Below are 27,616 nucleotides of genomic sequence, written 5' to 3' on the forward strand. Positions count from 1 at the left end.
ATGGGTGAATAAGAGATGAAATAAGATTGTCTGTGAGTGGAACTATTGAAGCCAGACAATGAGGGCTTATTATACTCTTTTTTTGCCTTGATGTTTTGAAATGTATCATCATGAGAAGTTAAAAACAAGTACAACAAATTTCACCCAGCATTTGTGTATTTCAAGCTCAAGTGTACATACAGGGGAATTCCCTGCCTCTGCTCAGTCCACTTATATAATACAAATGTTTGCTTTTTTCTTTTTTTTGTCTCTATTATATGAGCCAATACTTGGCCCAAGGCTTTGGAAGCCCCTTTGATAAAGCCGTGTCTGGCAGCAGTGGGAACACCCGGCCAGGCCCCAGCAGCCCTGGCTTCTCTGAGCAGCGAACACCGTGGCACTGGCCTTCGAGTCAGTTTACTGAGGTCCCTTTTCCCTGAGATCTGTTTCCCTCTAGCACCTGCCTGTGGGGCCCCTCCCACATTTTTTCCAAGGACTTGTTTCAACAAAAAGCCTCAGACCCTCCCCTCAGGACAGACGTACACAGATCTTCTGACACCCGGCCTTCCTCTGGTGGGTCTTTGTTGAGGCCCCACACGAACCGGAATCCAGTCTTTGGTGTGCCCACAGCACCGCGGCAGGAGGCAGGAAACGTGCCCCTTTCCAGTTCTGACTCTGGACAAAAGAAGAAAAAGGGCAAGATGCAGCTTGTGACAGTGCCTGGGACCTGATGGTATTTCTAATCAAGCTAGCAGCTACAACGCCTTTACGGCCGGCCGGCGTGCGCTCCCCGCTCCCATCACTGCATTTGTGCTTTGGGGGTCTGGAACAACAGCACATGAGTATGTGGTAAAATTCTTATGCGGAAGTGGCAGGAAAAGAGGGAAACGTTTGGGGGCTTCTCCTGATGGTGTGCTGCCTGGTGGGTAGAGATGGTTGATGGGAACAGGAGTGCTGGTTGGTCAGATCCTGCCAGTGCTGGCGCCGTTTGTTGCATCTGATGGTGAGCTCTTTCCTCTGGTGCCCCGTTTTTCTATGCTGTGCTGTTGGTTTGCAGGGAGGAAGACAGGGAAGTCCTGCACCCCCTCAAGCTTCCATAAACTTCCACCCCCAGCACCATCTTCATCTCTGTCCTTTCTTTTTCTTTCTTTTTTTTTTTTTTTGAGACAAGGTCTTGCTCTTTCACCCAGCCTGGAGTGCAGTGGCACGATCACAACTCACCGCAACCTCGAACTCCTGGGCTCAAGTGATCCTCCCACCTCAGCCTCCCAAGTAGCTGGGACCACAGGCATACGCCACCACGCCTGGATAATTTTTTTTTTATTTTTGTGGAAACAGGTTCTTGCTATGTTGTCGTGGCTGGTCTCGAACTCCTGGCCTCAAGTAATCCTCTTGCCTCAGCCTCCCAAAGTGCTGGGATCAAAGGCGTGAGCCACCATGCCTGGCCTGTTTTTCTTTCCAAGGCACCTTTTGCAGTTCTTTTAGTAGAGAGGCTTTCAGGTGAGTCTAGTGTGGAGGGAATGTCATGAGCTCTGTCTTCAGTATAGGTGGCTTGATTTGTGTGTATTTCCCAGTGTGGACTGCACGTTGGATCTGAGGGCAGCAAACCCCAAATGCTGATGGCGTGTCTGATTTTTTTTATTTTTTGAGATTGAGTTTCGCTGTTTCACCCAGGCCGGAGTGAACTGGTACAATCTCAGCTCACTGCAACCTCGGCCCCACCGGGTTCAAGCAATTCTCCTGCCTCAGCCTCCCTACTAGCTGTGATTATAATTGCCTGCCACCACACCCAGCTAATTTTTGTGTTTTTTTAGTACAGACGGGGTTTCGCCATGTTAACAAGGCTGGTCTTGAACTCCTGATCTCAGGTGATCCACCCACCTCAGCCTTCCAAAGTGCTAGGATTACAGGTGTGAGTCACTGAGCCCTGCCTTGATTTTTATTTTATTTTATTTTGAGACAGAGTCTTGCTCTGTCGCCCAGGCTAGAGTGCAGTGGTGCGATCTTGGCTAACTGCAATCTCCATCTCCCGGGTTCCAGCGATTCTCCTGCCTCAGCCTCCCGAGTAGCTGGGACTACAGGTACCCGCCACCGCACCCGGCTAATTTTTTGTGTTTGTAGTAGAGACGGGGTTTCACTGTGTTAGCCAGGATGGTCTCGATCTCCTGACCTCTTGATCAGCCTGCCTCGGCCTCCCAGAGTGCTGGGATTACAGGCGTGAGCCACTGAGCCCGGCCTTGATTTTTAAACTTATCAAGTCCTCAGTGAGGGGAGCACTGTTCTAGATACCAGGGTGCAGCCATGAGGAAAACAGACAAGGGTTCTCACCCTTCTGGGGCTCACCTTCAAGTGGAAGAGTCAATCAACAAACAAGATAAAGAAGTAAAACACGGCTGGGCACGGTGGCTCATGCCTGTAATCCCAGCACTTTGGGAGGCCAAGGCAGGAGGATCATGAGGTCAGGAGATCGAGACCATCCTGGCTAATACGGTGAAACCCTGTCTCTACTAAAAATACAAAAAAAAAAAAAAATTAGCTGGGCGTGGTGGCGGGCGCCTGTAGTCCCACCTACTCGGGAGGCTGAGACAGGAGAATGGCGTGAACCCGGGAGGTGGAGCTTACAGTGAGCCGAGATCGCGCCACTGCACTCCAGCCTGGGCGACAGAGCGAGACTCCATCTCAAAAAAAAAAAAAAGAAGTACAACACGCACCGTGTCAGTTGGTGATAAGTGCGAGGGAGCAGAAATTAAACAGGCAAAGGGCCTAGGAAGCAGTCACGCATGGCTTCACAGTGGGGCTGTGTTCTGAGAAATGTGTTGTTAGGCTCTTTTGTTGTGTGAACCTCATGGAGTGTACTTGCTGCGAAGCTAGATGGCACAGCCTCCTCCACACCTAGGCGCTATGGAGTAGGCTATTGCTTCTAGGCCACAAACCTACACACATGTGACTGCCCTGAATTCTGTGGGCAGTTGTAACACAATGGCAAGTATTTGTGTATCTAAACATAGAAAAGGTACAGTAAAAATATGATATAAAAGATTTTTTAAAAGGTGCACCTGTACAGGGCACTTACCGTGGATGGAGCTTGCAGGACTGGAAGTTGCTCCAGGTGAGTCAGTGAGTGAGTGGTGAGTGGATGGGAAAGCTAGGACAGTACTGTACACCACTGTAGACTTAACAGACACGGTACATTTAGGCTACACTAAATTTATTTTAAAAAATGTTTCCTCAATAATACATTAACCGTAGCTTACTGCAACTTGTTTACTTTGTAAACTTCTAAATTTCTTAACTGTTTGGGTTTTTTTTTTTTCTTTTTTTTGAGACAGAGTCTCGTTCTGTTACCCAGGCTGGAGTGCAGTGGCACGATCTTAGCTCACTGCAACCTCTGCCTCTCGGGTTCAAGCGATTCTTCTGCCTCAGTCTCCCCAGTAGCTGGGATTACAGACACCTTCCAACTGTAATCTAGTTTGTTTGTTGTTGTTGTTTTTGTATTTTTAGTAGAGACAGGGTTTCACCATGTTGGCCAGGCTGGTCTCGAACTCCTACCCTCTGGTGATCTGCCTCCCTCGGCCTCCCAAGTGCTGGGATTATAGGCATGAGCCGCTGCACCTGGCCTTGACTCTTTGGTAATACCACTTAGCTTAAAACACACCTTATTCAGTTGTACAAAAATATTTTCTTTATATCTTTATTCTGTAAGCTTTTTTTCTATTTTTAAATTTAAAATGTTCCGTTTTTATTTTTTTGCTTTCTGAGCTGCTTTTAGTAAAAACTAAGACACAAACACATGAGCCTAGGCCTCCACAGGATCATTAGTATCACTCTTCCTCCTCCACATCTTGTCCCACTGGAAGGTCTTCGGGGGCAGTAACACACGTGGAGCTGTCACTTCCTATGATAACAGTGCCTTCTTCTGGAATATCTCCTGAAGGACCTGCCTGAGGCTGTTTTACAGCTTTTTTTTTTTTTTTGTATATAAGTAGAAGGAGCACACTCTAAAATAACAATAAAAAGTATATATACAGACTGGCCAACATGGCGAAACCCCATCTCTACTAAAAATACAAAAGTTAGCTGGGCATAGTGGCAGGCGTCTGTAATCCCAGCCGCTCGGGAGGCTGAGGCAGGAGAATAGCTTGAATCCGGGAGGCAGAGGTTGCAGTGAGCTGAGATTGCGCCACTGCACTCCAGCCTGGGTGACAGGGCTAGACTCTATCTCAAAAAAAAAAAAAAAAGTATATATACTAAATATGTAAACCAGTAACATAGTCATTTATTATCCTTATCAAGTGTTATGTACTGTACATGGGCTGGGTGTGGTGGCTCACGCCTGTAATCCCAGCACTTTCGGAGCCTGAAGTGGGCGGATCACCTGAGATCAGGAGTTCTAGACCAGCCTGGCCCACATAGTGAAACCCTCTCTCTACTAAAAATACAAAAATTAGCTGGGCGACGTGGCGTGCACCTGTAATCTGAGCTACTCAGGAGGCTGAGGTAGGAGAATTGCTTGAATCCAGGAGGCAGAGGTTGCAGTGAGCCGAGATCACACCACTGCACTCCAGCCTGGGGAATAGAGGGAGACTCTGTCTCAAAAAAAAAAAAAAAAGATTATGTACTGTACATGATTGTATGTGTTACATTGTCTTTTACGTGACTGGAAGCACAGTAGGTTTATTTACACCAACACCACGACAAACAGGTGAATAATGCATGGCTCTCCGACCTCCCCGTGGCTCATGTCACTAGGCAATAGGAATTTTTCAGCTCCATGGTCGTCTTGTGGGACCACCCTTGTAAATGTGGTCCATTGTTGACTGAAACAGTGTTATGCAACACATGACTGCGTTAAGGTGGAGGGTGTTGAAATTTTGGGAAGGGTGGCCAGGGATGGCCTCCTTGGGAAAGTGGCCAGACCTGAAGGAGGTGAGGGAGTGGGAACAGCCAGTGCAAAGGCCCTGAGGTGAGGGGCCTGGTAAGATTGAGGCCCACATGGCTGGAGCGGAATGAGCCCAGGAGAGTGGGAGGGATGAGGGTAGAGAGGAGATATTTGCAGATCTCTTAGGGTCCTGCACAGGTTTGTCTTTTCTCTGATTGAGAAGGTTAAGATTTTTCAGGGTTGATTGATTTATTACTTTTTTTTTTTTTTTTTTTTTTGAGACGGAGTCTCACTCTGTTGCCAGGCTGGAGTGCAATGGCCCAATCTTGGCTCGCTGCAAGCTCCGCCTCCCAGGTTCAAGCGATTCTCCTGCCTCAGCCTCCTGAGTAGCTGGGACTACAGGCACGCACCACCATGCCCAGCTAATTTTTGTATTTTTAGTAGAGATGGGGTTTCACCATGATGGCCAGGATGGTCTCAAACTCTTGACCTCGTGATCCACCCTCCTTGGCCTCCCAAAGTGCTGGGATTACAGGCGTGAGCCATTGCGCCCGGCCGATTTATTACACTTTTGAAAAGTTTGACTAGTGACCACATGTACAAGGAACCAAAGCAACAAAAATAGGGCACCCAGTTCCCTTCCCAAGAGACCACCACAATTCCAGTTTCCTGATGGTGACCAGTTCCTTGACACTACATTATCTGAGTGAGTTTCCTGTCTTGTATTAGGTTGGACTGCCTGACATTGTGCTTTCGTGGGTCAAGAATGGTTGAATATTGGCAATTTTATGAGGTTCAGCCTAACAGCTTCCTTTCAGGAACATGAGGAATTTGGCCAATCCTTTCTTGCTGTGAGGGTTGGTAGTCCTCCCCCGATTCCTCCTGCATCTCACCATCCTCTTTCAGTGACAGGCCCAACAGTGCCTGTAACACCAGGGCGTGAAAACCCCTGCCCTACTTGTGGCCTCAAACCAGGGCTTGCTATTAAGCCCAGCAAGAGGCTGCCCCTTTTCCACGGGGACCTCACCTGGCTTCTGATGTTCGTCACTTTGGCTTTCTGCGTCTTGGTGCCACCAGTTTTGAAATCACAGCTCCCAGAGGGAGGGGCACCCGCGGACTCTTGCTGGGTGTTTGGTGTGACTCACATGGTGGGGGTGCTCTCTGGAACCCGTGGGCATTCTGCATCAGTCACCCATCAGAGTAGCTGGCAGAGCACCCAGCTTGAGGTGTCTGTGGGAATCTCTGCGGGGACCAGGTGGCTCAGGCTTGGGGAGGGGGCCTGAGGAGCCGTGCACCTCCCTGTAGCGATGGGAGACTTGCAAGTCGTTGTGGAACCAGGGCACTGGCCTCGGTCCTGTGGGAGCGGGTGGGGGTGAAATAACCTTAAAGGAGATATGGCGCCAACTTTGGAAGAGCTCAGTCGGGAAGTTGTGTCAGTTGGTAAGCCTTTGGCTGCAAACAGTAGTAACAGCATCAGCAGCAACAACTGCAGCAGCAAGTAGGCAATGTATGTAGCGTCTGCTGCATGCAAGACACTGTGCCGGGCCCTTCACATGAAGCCACTCCTTTAAGCCTCCCGACAACCCTGGAAGATATTATTCTCCCTTTGCAGATGAGGTAACTAAATTTGAATAACTTGTTCAAGGTCAGGCAGCTAAAAAAAGGTGGTGGCATGATTTTTTTTTTTTTAGATTCAGAGGGTACATGTGAAGGTTTGTTACATGAGTATATTGTGTGATGCTGAGGTTTGGGGTACAGATCCTGTCACTCAAATAGTGAACAGAGTACCCAATAGGTAGATTTTCTTTTCCTTTTTTTTTTTTTTTTGAGATGGAGTCTCGCTCTGTCACCCAGGGTGGAGTGTAGTGGCGCAATTTCAGCTCAGTGCAACCTCCGCCTCCCGGGTTTAAGCAATTCTCCCTACCTCAGCCTCCCGAGTAGCTGGGATTACAGGTGCCTCCACCAACCATGCCCGGCTAAACTTTTTTGTATTTTTTAGTAGAGATTGGATTTTGCCTTGTTGGACAGGCTGGTCTTGAACTCCTGACCTCAGGTGATCCACCCACCTTGGTCTCCCAAAGTGCTGGGATTACAGGCGTGAGCCACTGCGCCTAGCCCCCAGTAGGTAGATTTTCAACCCTTGCCCCATTCCTTCTTGGTTTTTGGAATTCTCAGTGTCTGTTGTTCGTGTGTGTGTGTGTGTGTGTGTGTGTGTGTGTGTGTGTGTACGTACCCAATGTTTAGCTCCCACTTAGAAGTAAGAACATGGGGTGTGTGTGTATATGCAATGTTTAGCTCCCACTTAGAATAAGAACATGGGGTGTGTGTGTGTGTGTGTGTGTGTGTGTGTGTGTGTGTATGCAATGTTTAGCTCTCACTTGTAAGAACATGGGGTGTGTGTGTGTGTGTGTGTACGTGTACGCAATGTTTAGCATCCCACTTAGAAGTAAGAACATTGGATATTTGGTTTTCTGTTTGTGCATTCATTCACTTAGGATAATGGCCTCCAGCTACATCCATGTTGCTGCAATAGACATGATTTCATTCTTGTTTAATGGCTGTGTAGTATTCCATGGTATATATGTACCACATTATCTTTGTCCAGTCCGCTGTTGATGGGCATCCGGGTTGATTCCCTGGCTTTGTGGGTTGATTCACATGCTATCGTGAAGAGTGCTGCGATGAACGTAGGAGTGCAGGTGTCGTTTGGTAGAATGGTTCCTTTTCCTTTGGGTAGATACCCAGAAATGGGATTGCTGGGTCGAACGGTAATTCTATTTTTAGTTCTTTGAGGAATCTTCAAACTGCTTTCCCCAGTGGCTGAGCTAATTTACATTCCCACCAACAGTGTATCAGCATGGTGACGTGATTTGGATTCAGGCAGTCTGACTCCAGAGCTGTATCTTAACTCTAAAGCTCTGTGTGCTACTGCAGTGGTTTTCAAACCCGAGCAAGACCAGGTGTGGTGGCTCACATCTGTAATCCCAGCACTCTGGGAGGCCGAGGCAGGTGGATCATTTGAGGCCAGGAGTTCGAGGCCAGCCTGGGCAACATGGTAAAACCCCATCTCTACTAAAAATGCAAAAATTAGCCGGGTGTGGTGGCACATACCTGTGGTCCCAGCTATTCGAGAGGCTGAGGCAGGAGAATTGCTTGAACCTGGGAGGCTCTGAGAGGTTGCAGTGAGCCAAGATCATGCCACTGCACTCCAGCCTGCGCAACAGAATGAGTGAGACTCCGTCTCAAAAAAAACAAAAAACCCTAGCAAGGATCAGAATCCCCAGAGGGCTAGGTAAAACACAGATTGCTGGGCCCCATCTGATTCTGTAAGTTCCTGATTCTGTAAGTCTAGCTTGAGAATTTGCATTTTGTGGTGACACTGGTGCCCCTGGTCCAGGAAGCACGTTTTGAGAACCATGAGCTACTGTAATAGGAAGCCCAAATGAAATTGGCCTGAAATAACGAGATTTATGATCTCATATAACAAAGAAGCCTGTAGGTAGGCAGCACAGCAGCACAGGAGTTGACTAAGCAGTTCCACAATGCCTGCAGGGACCCCATCCCTCTCCTTCAAGCCACTCTGCCATCCATGGTGTGTCTCCTGTGTCCCTAGGCTCCCTGCATGGCCACAAGATGACTGCCAAGGCTCCAGTTGGCACACACTGACAGTGCCACATCCAGCAGCAGAAAGAGGGCATCTCTCACTTGCTGTGTATCTCTTTAAGAGTGAGGAAACCTTTCATTGATTCCCTGCCTCCCAGATTTCCCTCATATCTCATTGGCCAGCATGGTGATATGTGACCCTGCCCAGAGAAACCAGCCAAGGGCCAATTAGGATTGACCCTCTGGGGCTGGGGCTGGGGCTGGGGCTGGAGCCGGGGCCAGCCTTACCTGAAGTAGGTAGCACAGGGAGGAGAGTGGCTACAGGAATGAAATCAGAGTACCATTTAGGAAAGGACTGGGAAAGGGGGAGGGATATTGGGTAGGCAGACAATTGGTTTTGCTGCAGAAATAAGTGGAACACAGGGAAAGCATAATGCCCATGCATTTTTGTCATCGTGCTTACCAGCTTTGTTTTGTAATTACCTGAATCAGGACTTAGCTTTTTGTTCTCTAATCATGCCCACCTTTGAAACTGTGCACAAAGTCCCAGTACCACAAGAACTCTGAATCTTGTTGGAATACCAAGTATTCTGTCTGGCAATTCAGGGAAACTTGAGTTGGGTGATGAGGCAGCAGTCTGAAGGTTAGAGTGCGAGGTCTTTGAGAGCACTCACTCACTCTGCCCAGAAACACCTGGGTCTCACCCATCTCTCTGCTCCTGACTCCCTCCCCCCTCCTCCTACCCTTCCTTGCAAAGGCTGTTTCCCCCTCTGAGGGCTGTTCTTGGATGAAAGGAGAGGATGCCAGTCAAGTGCTTACCCCCAGGGGCCAGCGCATGGTAAGTACTTAAGAACGTGGCCTCTGCTATTAACATATTAAATGTGACTTTTTATGTATGTATGTCTGTATCTATGTATGTATGTATGTGTTTGTTGTTTTTAGAGACAGTCTTGTTCTGTCACCCAGGCTAGAGTGCAGTGGTGTAATCATGGCTCACTGCAGCCTTGATCTCCTGGGCTCAAGCAATCCTCCCGCCTCAACCTCCCATGTGGCTGGGACCACAGGTGCATGCCACCGTGCCTGGCAAATTTTTTTTTTTTTTTTTTAGTTGGAGTCTCACTCTGTTTCCCAGGCTGGAGTGCAGTGGCGCGATCTCGGCTCACTGCAACCTCTGACTCCCTGGTTCAAGCGATTCTCCTGCCTCAGCCTCCCGAGTAGCTGGGACTACGGGCGCCCGCCACCACACCCGGCTATTTTGTATTTTTAGTAGAGACGGGGTTTCACTGTGTTAGTCTCGATCTCCTGACCTCATGATCCTCCCACCTTGGCCTCCCAAAGTGCTGGGATTACAGGCGTGAGCCACCGTGCCCAGCCCATGCCTGGCTAATTTTTTAATCATTCATAGAGACGAGGTCTCACTTTGTTGCCCAGGCTGGTCTCGAACTCCTGGGGCTCAAGCGATCCTCCCACTTCAGCCTCCCAAAGTGCTGAGATTACAGGTGTGAGCCACCGTGCCCAGCATAAATGTGACTTATAATAAATATTTTATAATCCTGCACCCCCTTACCAAAAAAAATCTATGAAGAGTGACCATCCCTTTTGCAGACTGAAATTTCCTGAGGATACCTGTTGCTACTGCTCGTGGCCACACTGTAAAGCCATTGCCCTTTGAGATTGCAAAGGGCTGAGGAATGCAGTGTGGGCTCTGAGCCAGACTGCTGAGTGCAAGTTCTTGATCCATCTTGGGCTCCCTGTTTTACTTTGGGCAAGCCACTTAGCCTTGCATGTCTTAGTTTCCGTATCTGTAAGGTGGAGCTGGTAATGGTACTGTCCTCCTAGGTTGTTGGGAGGATTCGAATGCATCAAAGCACGTGACATGCTTAGACACCCCTCCCCCCCAACCCCCAACAGCACCCGACCCAAAGCAGCACTCATACAATATGTATCAGCTAATCTTTGAATATTCTGTGCCAGTTCATTCACAGGGGACTATAAGCTCCCTGTGGGCAGGATTTATGTGGTTTTTGTTTACTACTGTGTCCCAGTGCCTGACTCAGAATAGACATTGTTTACATTTGTGTGTGTGGATGAAAAGAAGGATGGTAAGAGCCTTTCTTAATTTCTTTTCCTTCAGCTGCCTGGAATTTAAACTCTGACCTGAGCTGATTACTCGGTATTTTGAAGGAATAAAGTGGACCTGACTGACTCTGAGGGCAGCATGTGATAAGTGCAGCTGATTGTTGAGCATTTTTGTGAGCCACAAGCATAGTGCTCACCATAAAGATCTCACTTGGCCAGGCACAGTGGCTCATGCCTGTAATCCCAGCGCTTTGGGAGGCTGAGGAGGGAGGATCGCTTGAAGCTAGGAGTTTAAGACCAGCCTGGACAACACAGTGAGACCCTTGTCTCTACAAAAATAATAATAAAGCTCTCACTGACTCTTCATCCCATTTCATAGATGAGGAAACTGAGGCCCAGTGGGAGCACCTGCTTCTTCTTACAAGAGGAGATCTAAAGTAGTGGTTAAGGCCGGCCGCGGTGGCTCATGCCTGTAATCCCAGCACTTTGGGAGACCAAGTCAGGTGGACCTCCTGAGGTTGAGAGTTCAAGACCAGCGTGGCTAACATGTTGAAACTCCGTCTTTAATAAAAATAAAAAAAAAAGTAGCTGGGTGTGATGGTGCACGCCTGTAATCCCAGCTACTTGGGAGGCTGAGGCAGGAGAATCCCTTGAATCCAGAAGGCGGAGGTTGCAGTGAGCTGAGATCGCATCACTGCACTCCATCCAGCCTGGGTGACAGAGCAAGACTCTGTCTCAAAATAAAATAAAATAAATAAATAAAGTAGTGGGTAAAAACTGGAACCTTGGAGCTCCTCTGCTTGGGTTAGATCCCCACCCCAGCACTTTCTTCCTGTGTGACCTCCAGCCTATGACTTATTCGTTGAACTTCTCATCTGTAAAATAAGAATGCTGATAGTTCCTCCTTAGAGGGTCGCTGTGAGGGTTAGGAGAGAGAATTCATATGTAGCACTTAGAACAGCGCCTTGTGCAGTGAGCATTCCGGTTGTGGTTGTTATTATTAGCCAGCCAAAGCCGTTCAGTTGTGCTTCCAAAGCTGGCTGGAAGAGTCCAGCGACCGTGTTTAATCATTAAGCTGCATTGCCTCTGTGAGCTAGTGCCTCCTCTGCACGGGCCAAGGAGCCCGCCTTTAGATTGTACGGTTCTGAATGAAGCATCCAGGCGCAAGCTCAGGGCAGGGGACGGTGTGGGCACAAGTCCAGCCCTGGCTCTGTCAGTGAACAGGTGGCCTGTGCCTGAATCCGAGGTAATAGGCGAGCCGCCTTTGTTACCTTTGAGCTTTCTTTCAAGCCCATTCAGACTCCTCAGACCACGTGTCTGATGAGTAAGGAGGCCTTTTCTTTCCCTCCCCCAAAGGGAATGTTGGCAAAACAGCTTTCTTTGGGAACGCGCCTGTTCACGACGACCAGCCATCTCCTGGGGAACTCCGGTGGCTGGCTGGCGTGTTCCTGCGGCTGTTGAATAAGTCGCTGTTAGGAGCTGGCACGGCAGGTTCCCGTTTCCGCATTCCAGGCACCCACAGCGGGCTGGGGGCGGGCACCACTGAGGTCGGCCTGGAGAGCCAAGGCAGGTGGCCTCGCCCTGGGAGGACCAGGGACAGGAGGAGTCCACCTGGGGCTCCCCTGACAGCCACCTGCCCACTTTGTGATCAGAGCCGTGTTCGGGGAGTCTTTCAGGTGAGCGATATTCATTAAATTTGGCAGTGACTTGCAGAGAAAGTTCATCATGTTTCTTCCTCTCCGGAGTTAGACAGTTAGCTTTTTTTGTTTTCTCTTTTTTTCCCCCCTCTTCTCCCTGAAATGTTTACCTGTCTGCTCCTAACTGTGAAGAAAGAGTGGGCCGGGTGTTGACGGACTGAGAAAAATGGAGGACATTTCTCCCAAGAGAAGGAATCGGTGACTCTTTTAGTGAGTTGAGCTCCTGCTGGATGCAGACTTCTGTGCCGGGGCTGGGGGCGATCCCAGCCTGGTGTAGATGAGCTCTGTGGTCTCGCCTGAGTCCGCTTTCCTCTCTGGGCCTCAGTTTCCTCTTCTTGTGAAATGGGAACTAGCAGCAGTGCCCAATGAGTCATCTATGTAAACTGCTTCAAGCCTGGGCACTGAGCGGTGCTCAAGTCCCCCCTCCCCAACCCCAGGCCCCCATTTTCCCTGTGTGACCTCATCTGTGACCTCTCAGCTGCTTGCTTGCTGTACCCCAGCTGCACTGGCCTCCTGCTGTTCCTCCCTCGGAGACTTTGCCCTGGCTGTTCCCTCTGCCTGCAACACTTCCCCTAGAATTCCCCAGCGCCGCCTCCCTCCCTCCTTCCCTCAAGTCTCTGTTCAGATGTCACCTTCTCCATGAGGCCTCTCTCCTTATTAAATTGCACCTTCTCCCTCACCCTCGCCCTTACTCTTTGCTTTATTTTTCTTCATAGCATTTACTTCCACTTGACATATTTTGTCTATGCTCTGCTTCCCAGCTCTAGGCTCCATAGAAGCACAGGCACTTTTGTGTCCATCCTTGTAGAACCGTTCCTGGCACGTGGTAGATGCGGGCTAAATTGTGATATGAATGAATTTATATCAGGTGCAACATGATCCAAGGATGGGTGGCCAGCCCCGTTTGGGGTTTGAGGAGGGTGTCAGCTTTTCCAGGAACCTGTGGCTGTGGGTGAGGCGGCATGTGCAGATGCCTCCCCCTGGTCACCCAGTGGCTCTCTGGCACCTGCCTGCAGCATCCAGCCCTCTGCCTTCCTGTCCTGCAACCCCTGCAGTCTGTGCAGCCCAGGCCTGGTAGTGACTCATCTGGGCAGCCTGGGTGCCTGTGGCATGGAACAGGAAAGCTTGGCCTAGTAAGTGGAGAGGATGTCAGGTTCATTTAGGTGGAGAAGACTGTGTGGAAGATACCACCCATATACACACATCTCATATGTATCTCCAGCCCCTGCTTGCTGTTCCTGCAGGGGGAGGCCAGGGAGTGCCTGGGAAGTAGCAATTAACCAGCCAGGCACAGTTGAGCCATCTCCCCTGCTTTAATGGGTAATAATTCTTGCTCTGGGGCTGAACAAGTTTTAATTAAATGGTGAGCGCGAAGAATCTGACCGTGTAATAGCTGACACGTCCTCATCTATTTTCTAGCTCCCGGTGTCAGCAATTGATTCTGTAAAAATATCCTGGGCAGGGCTTCCCTGAGCTCCATGAGTGAGGTCAGTGGCCTTCTTGGATTTCTCCCAGCATGAGGCACCAGGGGACTGAGGTGCTGATGGACTTCGCGCCGCTGTAGCATACATCATCGCATGTCAGGACCTGCTGCTATTTTAAGAATGTGCAGAGCAGGAGGGAAGCTCTTCTGCAACATTTAACACATATGTCCCTTGAGCTCCCAGTGCGGGAGTTTGGGGTTGAGTTGAGGACTCTCCTATTACACTTATTTCATGTAATGCCTGAGCCCCAACACTGTGGGCACAGTAGTTCTCTGGGCCACAGGTTCCTTATCTGGAAAATGGGGATAATTAATAGATGATTAAACGAGAAGTCAAAGTGAGATCAGGTGACTCAGTGCTGTGTCTAGTGCATAGATAGCAAATTAGATTTAAGAAAGACAATTCTTTTTAAGAATTCTTTTCAAGCCCCTTTTTAATATTTTCGGTCTGTCCTTTTTTGTGCCCACCCCCGACCCTGGTTCCACCCCTGTGTCAGCATCCTCCCGCAATCCTTCACCCATGGTAACAATCAAGGACTGTATGTATCTTTCCACATTTTTCTCCATGGTTATATAATCCTATAGGAGATAATATTACACTTATTTTCTTGCATTTTGCTCTTCTCACATAGCAGTGCCATGTGGAATGCCTCTGAGTCCTTGCATAGTGCTGAGATTTGCTCTTTTTAGTGGCTGCGTAACACACAGTGGTGTGGATGCACCATAATTGATTTGGCCAAGACATCACTGATAGGCATTCCCTTTTCTCCTAGAGTTTTTTTTTCCCACAAATTATTATTTTTATTGATAACCTTCTTTAATTAGATTGCAGATGTCCAACCTGTTTGGCCACCTTGTTAAGTTCTAGGCCTTTGAGAATGAATATGAAGTAACAGTAGTGCAATGATGCCTCTCGTCCAGATAGAAGATGTATTTTTGGAGGGTTCTCACCAAGTCCAGCACTGTGTTGAACCAAAAAGCATTTTTTAAATGCTTTTTTATTATTAGAATAATTAATAGATTCATCACACTTAGCCAGATTAGTTGTGTTTAATGTACTTATTATGAAATAAGAGTGAAAGGACAGTTCATGTTTTTTCATATTAACAATCTTGGTTGGAAATCAGAATGTGCAAGAGATTTTTGTTGGGATTTGTGATTGATTGTGTGTTTCTTTTTCAGGTGGCACTTTAGTTAGGGACTATGCTTGTGTTCAGGAAACTTGTACAGCGTTGTACCCAGATAGAGATTTGTTCTAGTTGTCTATTGCTGCACCACAAGCCACCCCTAAACTTAAGGCCTTAAAATGACAGCAGTTTCTTATTTCTTGTGAACCTGTGGTTGACTGGGGCTCAGCAGGATGGTTCTTCTGCTGGTCTTGCTTGGGGTCTGTTATGTGGCTGCAGTCAGAGGGTGGATGGGGTTGGAACATTCAACATGGCTTTACTGAAATGGCACCTTGGGAATGGCTGGGTCCATGTCTGTCCATAGTCTTGGGACCTCTCCTTTCATGTGGCCTGGCCAGCCTGTAGCTGGACTTATAACACGGCAGCTGAGGGCTTTTGTGAGCCTTCTTAAGGCATAGATTTAGAACTGGCTCCACATCACTTCTACTTCATTCTGTTAGTTAATGTGAGTTGAAGAGTCAGCCCAGATTCAGTATGGGAGGGATATCACAAAACAAGTTCCAGGAGGTGTGGTCCACTGTGGGCACCTTTCTATCCTGGCTACCATGGGGTTCATTTTCTCATGTAAGAAGTGCAGAGCTCAGCAGGCTAAGGTGACGCTCACCTTACCCTCTCTCTGCTGCTCCAGGTCACCATCCTTAGCCTCATATTCATAAAATGGTTGCTCTACCTCCAGCCTGATATCCTTGTGATGGGCAGGCAGAACCAGGGCTCTAAGGAAAGGAGACAGCACCTGTATCAAGAAGCCAAAGCCTTCCCTGAAATCTTTAGCAGACGTCTGCTTGTGACTATTTGGCTAGAACTTTGTGACATGGCCACTCCTTGCTGCAAGGACATCTACAGTTTTTCAGTTGGGCCCATTGCCACCCTGAGCAAAGGGTCAATAAGGAAGAAGACGGAGAGTGGACATGTTGGGCATTCACCTGCCAGCACTCCATCCAGACAGCCACAGAAGTGGTGGGTAAACAGAGACAGCATACATTCACTTATCAACTGTTTAGTAAATTCCTGGCATGGGCAGGGCACTGGGCTTCTCCCAAAGACTGTAAGAGTGTGCAGGATTATTTGCAGACATTGACCAGATCATTGCTGAGCTCACCTCTCTCATATCAGTGTTCGAAGTTAGTCTAATGATAAGAATAGTAGCCAGTCTCATTAAGGGCTTACCTTGTGTAGAGGAACTGTTACGAATACTTTTCATAAGCCAACTCAGTGAATCTTCACAGTGGCCCTATGAAATGGGCATTGTTATCACCCCCTCTTCTCAGAGGCAGAAACAGAGGCACAGAGAGGTTCAGTAACTTGCCATATTTCCTCTGACAAGGGCATGGTGGAGTTGAGATGCAGTCTCTCCTGGTCTGGCTCTGGAGGCATGTACTGAACCATTTGGCTATACTGCTTTGGTTAATTACAGGAAACATTTCTTGTTGAAATGAATATGTAATTGACAGCAGAATAAAACATGAAACAAAAACCACTTACTACTCCATCCCCTCCACTCCTGCTTCCTGCCTCATTGGTCTCATCTGTCAGTAACCTAGTATATATTCTTCCTCACCTCTTTCTAAATGCATTAATTTTTAAAATCTTTTGAGAGTCTGGGTCTCACTGTGACACTTAGGCTGGAATAGAATGGTTGGCTAATTTTTTTCATTTGTTTGTAGAGATGGGATCTTGCTATGTTGCCCAGGCTGGTTTCAGACTCCTGGGCTCAAGTGATCCTCCTGCCTTGGCTTCCCAAAGCATTGGCATTACAGGCGTGAGCCACCATACCTGGCCTGTATTAACTTTTTAAAGATGGCCTTTGGACACACAGAATTGGATTAATCATAATGCGTGGTGCATGATACACTGGCATTTTTGGTCCATGAAAAAAATATTCATCTATCATAATGAACAGCCGTTAGCCCACTGTTTGCCCAAGAACTTGAATATTACCAGTAACTTACATGTACCTATGTGGTACTTCCCATTCACTTTCCTGCCTGCTCTCTCAGAAGTGACCACCATCTTGAATTTTGTGTTTATTATTCTTTGCTTTAAAAGAATGATTTTTGAACTTTATCAAAATATGGCTGAGTGTGGTGGCTCATGTGTGTAATCCCAGCACTTTGGGAGGCTGAGGCAGCAGGATTTCTTGAGCCCAGGAGTTTGAGACCAGCCTGGGCAACATGGCAAGACCTCATCTCTACAAAAAAATTTTTAAAAATTAGCCAGGTGTGGTGGCATGCACTTGTGGTCCCAGCTACTTAGGAGGCTTAGGAGGAAGGATTGCTTGAGCTCAGGAGGTTGAGGCTGCAGTGAGCCTGGTTCGTGCCACTGCACTGTAGCCAGGGCGACAGAGTGAAACCCTGTCTCAAAAAAAAAAAAAAAAAAAAAAAGACCAGGCACGGTGGCTCACACCTGTAATCCCAGCACTTTGGGAGGCTGAGGTGGGCAGATCATGAGCTTAAGAGATTGAGACCATCCTGGCCTACATGGTGAAACCCCATCTCTACTAAAAATACAAAAAAATTAGCTGGGTGTGGTGGTGCGCACCTGTAGTCCCAGCTACTGAGGAGGCTGAGGCAGGAGAATTGCTTGAACCCAGGAGGCGGAGGTTGCAGTGAGCTGAGATGGTGCCACTGCACTCCAGCCTGGGCGACAGAGCAAGACTCCACCTCAAAAAAAGAAAAAGAAAAAGATATACTGTACATAGTTTTCTGAGACTTGCATTTTTCAGCTAATATTATGATTCTAACATTGATTTAGACTGGTACCACTGGGACTCATGCATTTTTATTTACTGCCATGTGAGTATTCCACTGGCTGAATATACCATGTTTTTGTTTTAGGCATTTCCATGCCAATGGACATTTTGTTTTCAGATTTTTTGCTGTTCACAGGCTGCTGTGAATATTGTTACACTTCCTGGTGCACATGGACAAGCATTTCTTTCAGGTATGTACTGGACATGAGATTTCTGGATTGTAGGTTGTGATCATCTTTAGCTTTGCCAGATATTACTGAGCTGCTCTTTAAACATCCCACCAAGGATGAGTTTCTTTTATTCTGTATCCTTGTCACATTTGGTTTTGTAAAACTTTTTTACTTTTGCCAGCCTAGTGGATAGGAAATGAAATCTCATTGTGGTTAATTTACCCCTGAAGACTAGTAAGGCAGAATATCTTTTCATTCATGTTTCTCCTTCTGGATATTGCTTGCTCATCACATCTGCTTCTTTTTCTTTTTTTCTTTTTTCTTTTTTTTTTTTTTTTTAGGTGGAGTTTTACTCTTGTCACCCAGGCTGGAGTGCAGTGGTGTGATTTTGATTCACTGCAACTGCACCTGCTGGGTTCAAGCAATTCTCCTGCCTCAGCCTCACGAGTAGTTGGGATTGCAGGCACCTGCCACCACACCCAGCTAATTTTTGTATTTTTAGTAGAGACGGGATTTCATCATGTTGGCCAGGCTGGTCTCAAACTCCTGAGCTCAGGTGATCCGCCTTTCTCAGCCTTCCAAAGTTCTGGGATTACAGGCGTGAGCCACAGTGCCCGGCCACTTTTGCTTCTTTTTCCTATTGAATTGTAGGTGTTCTTTATATACTGTGGCTACTAATCCTGGGGTGGCAGCCTATTTAACCTAATAAAAGTTTATGATCCTCGGGTCATCCTTTCTGTAGTTGTTTTCTTTCCCCTGCTATTCTCCCCCCAATTCCATGATACCTTTTTGTGTACCTCCAGCTCACAGTGATCCACTCTTTGAAACAGTCCTCAACTTCTGGGCATTTGTATATGTTAGTACAGATGTATGACTGACTATACCTGTTCTACCCACTGTGCCGTTGCATTTTGGTATCAGATGTATCTGTTAGGATTAGTTTCAACTACAGGCTGGCCATGGTGGCACACACCTGTAATCCCAGCTACTCAAGAGGCTGAGGTAGGAGAATTGCTTGAATCCAGGAGGCGGAGGCTGCAGTGAGCCGAGATTGCACCATGCACTCCAGCCTGGGCGACAGAGTGAGACTCCATGTCAAAAAAAAAAAAAAAAAAAAAGGATTAGTTTCAACCGCATATAATTTAGTTTCAACAAAGTGACAGTGGCCTAAGCAAGATAGCTTATTTCTCTCTCACGTAAAGGAGCCCCGTAATAGACAGGCGAGCCTGTGTTCTCATCAGGGACCCAGGCTGCTTCCACCTTCTGGCTCCACCACCTGTATCCTGCCACCTCATGGTATGAGACAGCTGCCCAAGCTCTAGCCATTACGTCCCAGGAGGCAAGTAAGAAAAAAGGAGACTTAAATTGTACACAGCAAGTCTGCTTACACCTTTGCCCAGAATTTAATCTCAGTACTATATGTAGCTGCAGGGGAACCTGGGAAATGTAGTTTTATTTCCCATGGCCTTATTCTTAGCTAAAATTTAGATTTGATTGCTAAGTGAAAAGGGGAGACTCAATATTGGAGTAGGCAGCCGGTAATGTCACTAGTTCTGAGGTGTTCCCTAGTGGAGCTGAAAGGAGCCATCAGACACCAGGATGGTACCTGTAGATGATGCCCTCCCCACTTTTGGTTCTTTGATTAATTACACAGATATTTATGGAGCACCTGTTTTGTACAGGCACTATTCTGGGAACTGGGAAGAGAGTAATGGAAAAGCAAACGGGGTCTCCACCCTTGCAGAGCTCGTATTTTAAAAGAGCAGCTAGATAGTAAGCAAGTCAGTTACTTAGTGCGTCAGAGATAAGGGGTGTGAAGAAAAATAAAGGAGGCTGGGCATAGAGGCTCTCAACTGTACTCCCAGCACTTTGGGAGGCTGAGGCAGGAGGATTGCTTGAGCCCAGGAGGTCAAGGCTGCAGTGAGCCGAGATTGCACCGCTGCGTTCCAGCCTGGGTGACAGGCTAAAAAAAAACCCTGCCTAAAAACAAACAAACAAAAAAAAAAACAAAAAAAAAGCTTTACCTCTTACTAACTCATGACCACTCTGTTTTCTTCTATATCCACCACCACCCACCCTCTACTGTATTATTTTAACGCTAAATAGTTGAGTATCTGCAAGATAAGGATTCTTTAAAGACATAATGAGAAGACCATTTTAATCATGACAATAATTAACATTAATTGCTTACATCATCTGGTATCCGCACAGTGTTAACATCTCAGATCATCTCATAAATATCTTTCTAGAATTGGTTTGTTCCAATCAGGACCCAACAGGGCTCACCATTGGAGTTGGTTCATCTGCGTGTGAAGCCTCATTTAATCTATGGCTTCTCCCTCCCTCCAGCTCACTGCAACCTCCGTCTCCCGAGTTCAGGCGATTCTCCACCTCAGCCTCCTTAGTAGCTGGGATTATAGGCATGTACCACCACGCCCAGCTAATTTTTTTGTATTTTTAGTAGAGACAGGGTTTCACCATGTTGGCCAGGCTGGTCTCAAACCCCTGACCTCAAAGGATCCTCCCACTTCAGCTTCCTAAAGTGCTGGGATTGCAGGAGTGAGCCACCACACCTGGCTTGATTTTTCTTTGTTTTTCTCTTGCAGTTTATATGTTCAGAAAGGCCATGTCATTTGTCCTGTATATGATCAGGCCTGGATCTGACCGATCATATCCCTGTTGCAGTGTTTAACTTATTCTTCTATCTCTGTGTTTCCTATAAATGAATCATTGGATTTGCAGAGTAGGTGAATTTCAGGTTTGAGATGTACACACACACACACATACACACACACACACACACACACACACACACACACACTGTTTCTTTTTTGGCAGGCAGGGCTAGCCGTCCTCCTAGGTGTTGCTGTGTATCCGTTAGGGATGTAAAGCTGGGGGCCCCTTTCTGTATTGGTGTTAGTGGCCGTGGATGACCATTGCTCAGAGCCATTATTTCATTTGGGGTGTACAAAAATTGTGCTGTTGTAATTCTGTCCACCTCTTCATTTATTAGTGGGACTATTCCTCTAGAGAGAACCTGCCCCTCATCTATTATTCAGTTATCCTGAGGGTACTGGCTCTTTTGAACTTTTGTTTGCCTTAGAAATGACTATTGAACAATTGGGCTGGTGGTTTCTAATCTGTTGTGTGTTTTTTTTTTTTTTTTTTCCTGCAGAGATTCAAATCTTCCTTGTTTTTATGTTCATTCATTTGACATTTGCCGGTCTCCACCACTGCTCATACCCTGTCCTGAGCTTGCCAATAAACAGATGAACCAGTCCAGTCATCTCATTGTGTGGGCACGGCTGCTCCAGGCCTTACCTTTGACCGGGTGGGGCCTTGCGGGTGTTTGTCGAAGTAATGAGACTGTGGACATTCCCATCTTTCTCTCTCTTTCCCCTGTCGTGCATTGTCAGACCTTATAGTCTTTGGTGAGTTCCTGCTCTACGCCAAGGAATTAGTCCTTTATGCTTGGGGCAAGAGGTTTTTGAGTATTTGGATTTCTTCTGATCTGAAACTCCATTCCTAGACAAAAGAACAATAAAGGGCTCTACTCCATTGCAGAGGCAAGCCCTGGTAACCTGGCCAGGGGCGAGCCCTGACCCCAGCCACTGTTGTCTGGGTCATAAATTCTTGAGAGCAGTAGCACGCTTGAAATCATTTAGATGCTTTGGGATCAGTTATTCATTATATTGCACGATATCTAAGGGCCTCTTTGCTGCTAGAGATTACAACACATTCCTCCTGGGGGCAGAAGATTTATTGTGCAGTGATGTGCAAACTCATTCATTCATTCCATTGTTAACTTCTTCATTCAGCAAATATTTACTGAACATCACATATGCTTCCAGTGCCGGGGACGGAGCCCGATAAGGTCTGTCCTCCTGGAGTTCATTGTTTAGGTTGGGGGACACAGTCAAGGAAGAAGTAAACAGATTAATAAGATAATTCCAGATGGGGATGAATAATGCTGTGGAGTCAGGAAAGCAGAATGGCGAGAGAGACACGCCTGGAAGTAGAAGGGATTGTGGGAGGCTGGAAAACTGGGGTCGTTGGGGGAGAGCCTCCTCGGGGTGGTGACATGCCAGCTGAGAGTGGAGTGGTATGCAAAGGTGCCAGCCTTGTGAAAGATCAGGGAAGAGCTTTCCCAGCAGAGGGAACAGCAGGTGCAAAGGCGCTGAGGCTGGAATGAGTTTGACGTGTGAAGGAGTGTGGGGTGGGGGTGGGAAGGAGGGGGAGGGCAGGAGACGGGGGTGGCGGGGGAGCCTGGTGAGGGTGTGGGTTTGATTCAGAGTGTCCTCCCATGCCCTCTGGCTACGGCGTGGAGCATAGATTGAAGGTGGGAGTGGAAGTAGGGCAGTGAGGGGCAGCCTGTTTTGCAGTGAGGAGAGAAGTAGAGTCCCGGATGAGAGTGGTGGCAATGGGGACAAGAAGTGGGTGGCCCAACAGAACTTGTTTAGGGATTGGTCATGCTGGGTGGTGAGTGGGTTGAAAGGTTTACCAGCGGGTTCAGGCTTTGGTCTGCAGGATTTTGTGGTAGTAAGGATAGCCCCAGTCCCCTTTAACATGGGCTGAGGTTTTCTTTCAATTTTTGTATTTTTAGTAGAGACAGGTTTTCCAGGCTGGTCTGGAATCCTGGCCTCAAGTGATCCTTCTGCCTCGGCCTCCCAAAGTGCTGGGATTAGATGCGTGAGCCACACCCAGCCTCTTTCTCTCTCTCTCTCTCTCTCTCTTTTTTTTTTTTTTTTTTTTGTAGAGACAGGGTCTTGCTGCATTGCCCAAGCTGGTATCAAACTCCTGGCACCAGGTGATCCTCCTGCCTTGGCCTCCCAAAGTTGCTGGGATTCTAGGCGTGAGTCACTCTGCCTGGCCAAGAGCTGAGGTTTTCTACTACACACATCTCGTCTAGCCCTCATATGGTAGACTCTTAATGCCCATTTCAACCCCGAAGAAACTGAGGCCCAGAGAAGTGAAGTCCTTAATCCTTGTCACATAGGCTGTTGGGGCTGGATTGGAACGTGGATAGCCCCACCCACAGTCCGACCACGCTCTCTTCTTCTCCCTCACTCCAACTACAGCTGTTAATTCATGGTATTGACACAGCCTGTGTCCAGGAGGAGCCAAATGTCAGTGTCATACATTTCTGAAGTCAAGAGGGGATCAAATCCACATCAGTGGCCTTTTCACCATTCCCACTAACCTGGATTCCAACACACCTTTTATGACAGTAATTATTACAGGGCAGAAAACGGGGACTTTCGATTGCTGACCACTTTACACGAGGCCCAGATAAGGTGTGCATCTAGGCCCTGGACTTTGAGCCCTGAGCCTGCTTAACTGATTGGGCTGAAAGTGTTCTCACCCATCAAATCCTCCTTATCACCTTCTCCAGAACTCCAGCTGTAAAGGGAGCTCACCACTCACAGGGTGTGTGTTGTATGTGACACCTCAGCCAGCCAAATGGCTTTACTTGGTGTCCTCTCAGAAGAGGTGTGACCTCCTTCTCTTAGCGTGGTCTCCTGTGGAAAGTCATGTTGAGTTTGGTGCTGCCTCTGCTTGCGTTTAGGCCTCTTGACAAGGATTGTATGTTGATCAATTTTTTAAAAGTGTTTTTAAAAAATCTTTACTGCTTTAAAATGTACAGAAGCCACACGCTGGCTGTAACCCGTTCCAACAGCAGAGCAGTATGTAGAGAAAGCATGGGCCGGACACGCCTGTAATCCCAGCACTTTGGGAAGCCTAGGTGGGCGGATCACCTGAGGTCAGGAGTTCGAGACCAGCCTGGCCAACATGGCGAAACCGCATCTCTACTAAAAATAAAAAAAATTAGCCAGGTGCAGAGGCATGCGCCTGTAATCCCAGCTACTTGGGAGGCTGAGACAGGAGAATCGCTTGAACCCAGGAGGTGGAGGTTGCAGTGAGCTGAGATCGCACCACTGCACTCCAGCCTGGGTGACAGAGTGAGACTCCGTCTCAAAAAAAAAAAAAAAGCATGAAGATCTGCTTCATTGTCTTGACCTAGTGGCCTGGCTTTGCCCCCAGGTCCTGCCCAGATGCATATTAAGTGCACACTTCCAGGTCTTGGTCTGTGCAGTGGATTGTTTGTTAAGAGCCAGGGTGCCTGGGTTCAAGTCCTAGTATTGCTGTGTACTGACTGTGTGAACTTGGGCCTTTACTTAATCTCCCTGTGCCTTGATTTCTCCATCTTTAAAATGATGGTGATGATCCCAACCTCATAGGCTTTTAAGGATTTACCCTGTTAATGTATTAATATGTAAAAGAATAGTGCCTAGCATGTTTGTTAAGTACAGGTGATCCTTGATGGGGTTATGTTCTGATGCACCTGTTATACGCTGAAATTACCCTTAAGTCAAAAGTGCATTCACACCTGTCATCCCAGCACTTTGGGAGGCTGAGGCGGGCAGATCACTTGAGGTCAGGAGTTCGAGACCAGCCTGGCCAACATGGTGAAACCCCATCTCTACTAAAAGTACTAAATTAGCCGGGCGTGGTGGCAGGTCCCTCTAATCCCAGCTACTCGGGAGGCTGAGCCAGGAGAATCACTTGAGCCCTGGAGGCGGAGGTTGGAGTAAGCCGAGGTTGTTGCCACTGCACTCCAGCCTGGGTGATAGAGCGAGACTCCATCTCATAAATAAATAAATAAATAAATGCATTCAATACACCTCACCTTTCAAACATCATAGCTTAGCCTAGCCTTCCTTAAATGTGCTCAGAACACCTGCATTAGCTTATAGTTGGGGAAAAATAATCTAACATAAAGCCTATTTTATAGTAAAGTGCTGAGTATCTCATGTACTGCTTATTGCTGGCCTGGAAAAAGTTCAAAATGCAAAGTACATTGAAATTGCAGCCATTTGTGCCATGGTAAAGTCAAAAAATTGCAAGTCAGAGACTGTCTGTACTCATGTCTTAGGTTGTTTTTTTTTTTGAGACAGAGTCAAAACTCTGTCATCCAGGCTGGAGTGCAGTGGTGCGATCTCGGCTCACTGCAACCTCCACCTCCCAGGTTCAAGTGATTCTCCTGCTTCAGCCTCCCGGTAGCTGGGACTACAGGCGTGTACCACCACACCTGGCTGATATTTTTTTGTATTTTTTGTAGAGACGGGGTTTCACCATTTTGCCTAGACTGGTCTCGAATTCCTGAGCTCAGCAATCTGCCCACTTCAGCCTTCCAAAGTGCTAGAATTACAGGTGTGAGCCACCGCGCCCAGCCAGCTATTTTTTTTTATTATACATCTATGTGAGTACCGCAGTTTGTTTTATAGACATACTCTAGGTATGCCGTCCTGCAGATTACACTTGAGTAGTCTAGCTTAAGAGATCCCCCCGTGTCTGTGGGTCAAGGTCTGTGGCATTCTTTTTAATGGCTACATAGCATTCCACTCTATTTGTTGCCTGTTGTTGAACATACTGGCTGTTCCCATCTTTCATTATTGGAACTCTGAACATCTCACACACAAAAATCATTTGTTTGCTTCTTAAGTTTTTCTTGGGACAAAGTCCTAGAGTTGCAATTCCTGAAACAGAGTGTCTATTTTTAAAGACTTGTGGCTGGGCGTGGTGGCTCACGCCTGTAATACCAGCACTTTGGGAGGCCAAGGCGGGAGGATCACCTGAGGTCAGGAGTTCAAGACCAGCCTGGCCAACATGGTGAAACCCCGTCTCTACTAAAGATACAAAAATTAGCCTGGCGTGGTGGCAAGCGCCTGTAATCCCAGCTACTCAGGAGGCTGAGGCAGGAGAATTGCTTGAACGCGGGAGGCAGAGGTTGCAATGAACCAAGAATGCACCATTGCACTCCAACCTGGGGGACAACAGCGAGACTTTGTCTCAAAAAAAAAAAATAATAATAATAATAAAGACTTGTGATATTTATTGTTGACTTGTATTCCGGAAGGGTCCAGTACAGGAGTTCTGGTTTCCTGGATCCTCACCAACGCTGGGCTCACACTGCTTCTTTCCCTCCCCACACTTTTTTTTGTGTGTGTGTGTGGAGATGGGGTCTTGCTCTGTTGCCCAGGCTGGTCTTGAACTCCTGGCCTCAAGCGATCCTCCCCCATCGGCCTCCCAAAGTGTTCGGATTACAGGCATCAGCCACCATCCATGGCCCAGAATGCTTTTTAATCTTTGCTATTTGGGTAACCAAAAGTTACCAAAGTAACTAATAATTTACATTTATTTGATTTCTGGTGAAGTTTATTGTATATGTATCTGTTTATTAATCATGTATTTCCTAGTTAATTACCTATTTCTCTGGGGGGTATTTTTATTTCTTGTTAATTTGTGGAAGATTTCTTTACATGTTGAAGATATGAATCATTTTGTTATGTTGCAAATTTATATTCCTAAATTGTTTATCTTTTAGTTTTTTTTTGTTAAACATTCAGAGGCTTCTTAATTTTTGTGTTGTTAGAGCTATTTTTCCTTTGTGTTTTTTGTTTTGCTTGTTTTATGTATGCTTTGGCTTTCATTTTAGGATGAGATAAATATTTTCTTCCTAGTTATTTTACGGCTTTGTTTTTACATCTAGGATCTGATATTTATTTTGGAATTGGTTGTGAGATAAAGATCTAGCTCCTGGGCCAGGCGCAGTGGCTCACGCCTATAATCCCAGCACTTTGGGAGGCAGAGGCAGGAGGATCACTTGAGGCCAAGAGGCCAGGAGTTTGACACCAGCCTTGGCAACATAGTGAGACCCCACCTCTACAAAAAATAAAAAATCTAGCTGGGTGTGGTGGCGCACACCTGTGGTCTCAGCTACTGGCAAGACTGAGGTGGGAGGATTGCTTGAGCCCTGGAGTTCAAGATTATAGTGAGCTGGGATTGCGCCACTGCACTCCAGCCTGGGCAACAGAGTGAGACCTTGTCTCTTAAAAACAAATCCGTCCAGGCATGGCGGCCCACGCCTGTAATCCCAGCACTTTGGGAGGCCGAGGCGGGCGGATCACAAGGTCAGGAGATCGAGACCATCCTGGCTAACATGGTGAAACTTCGTCTCTACTAAAAATACAAAAAATTAGCTGGGTGTGGTGGCAGGCACCTGTAGTCCCAGCTACTCAGGAGGCTGAGACAGGAGAATTGCTTGAACCCAGGAGGCAGAGGTTGCAGTGAGCCAAGATTGCGCCTCTGCACTCCAGCCTGGGCGACAGAGTGAGACTCCATATCAAAAAAAAAAAAAAAGTCCAACTCCCCCACCTCAGTAGTCAATGAGTTGTCCCTATCCTACTGACTAAATAATCCGTTCTTTCCCACTAATATGAAACTCAAACTTACTGTGAGCCAGGCCCTGGTCTGTCAAGTTTACCTTTCTAGTCTCCTGCCGTAACTCAATGAAGCAGATTGATAATATTCCCATTCACAGCAAGAAAACCGAAGCACAAAGAGGTGTCGTTTCTTGCGTGACATTTCACAGCTTGGATGGGGCAGAGCCTGGCTGGAAATATTGCAGATTTATTTAATAACCAGCCCCCTTATTTGTAATATGTTTTCAGCAGTTTTTCCTGCAGTTTCTTGCCAAATCTCCCTTTTGTCCACCTGTAACAGCCTGCAGCACTTTCCCTATGCTGGAGTTCTATGTTTTAGGCCTGTTCTCTGCCTCTGCCCTGGCCAAGACTTCTGTGGCAATGTCAGATGCCAGTGGAGGCTGCTGGCAGGCGTGGACGTCTCAGATGTCTGATCCTTCAGGAGCCCCCTCCACGGGGCCCTGGCTAGGCAGTGACCAGGATGTTTCTGAATCCCCTTAAGTTAATGGTGGCCACTTAGGCAGCGG

The 27,616-nt window shown here is 47.3% G+C and overlaps 1 protein-coding gene across 7 annotated transcripts in view, besides 2 other annotated features; it reads left to right on the forward strand.

The window, feature by feature from the left end:
• SIPA1L3 (signal induced proliferation associated 1 like 3) overlaps positions 1 to 27,616 on the forward strand; it is a 301,162-nt gene that overhangs the window by 13,269 nt on the left and 260,277 nt on the right. For 2 of the 7 annotated variants that reach the window (XM_047438487.1, XM_011526657.3), the window contains exon 1: positions 12,085 to 12,216. The exons of 4 other annotated variants lie outside the window; for them this stretch is intronic. The gene's annotated coding sequence lies outside the window, so the exon portion shown is untranslated. Of the gene's footprint in view, positions 1 to 12,084; positions 12,448 to 27,616 lie in introns of those variants that run through there. One more of the 7 variants, XM_047438489.1, reaches the window with a different exon arrangement.
• Positions 5,738 to 5,807: a silencer, noted in NCBI's record as "silent region_10560". NCBI's record gives its function as "represses an Ori minimal core promoter by ATAC-STARR-seq in GM12878 lymphoblastoid cells {active_cell/tissue: GM12878}" and the evidence as "EXISTENCE:reporter gene assay evidence [ECO:0000049][PMID:35858748]".
• Positions 12,420 to 13,082: an enhancer, noted in NCBI's record as "H3K27ac-H3K4me1 hESC enhancer chr19:38423536-38424198 (GRCh37/hg19 assembly coordinates)". NCBI's record gives its function as "activates a minimal SCP1, AML or CMV promoter by ChIP-STARR-seq in naive H9 embryonic stem cells {active_cell/tissue: H9 hESC(naive)}" and the evidence as "EXISTENCE:reporter gene assay evidence [ECO:0000049][PMID:30033119]".

Source organism: Homo sapiens, chromosome 19, assembly GCF_000001405.40.
Source record: "Homo sapiens chromosome 19, GRCh38.p14 Primary Assembly".
In the NCBI taxonomy this organism is placed as follows: Eukaryota; Metazoa; Chordata; class Mammalia; order Primates; family Hominidae; genus Homo; species Homo sapiens.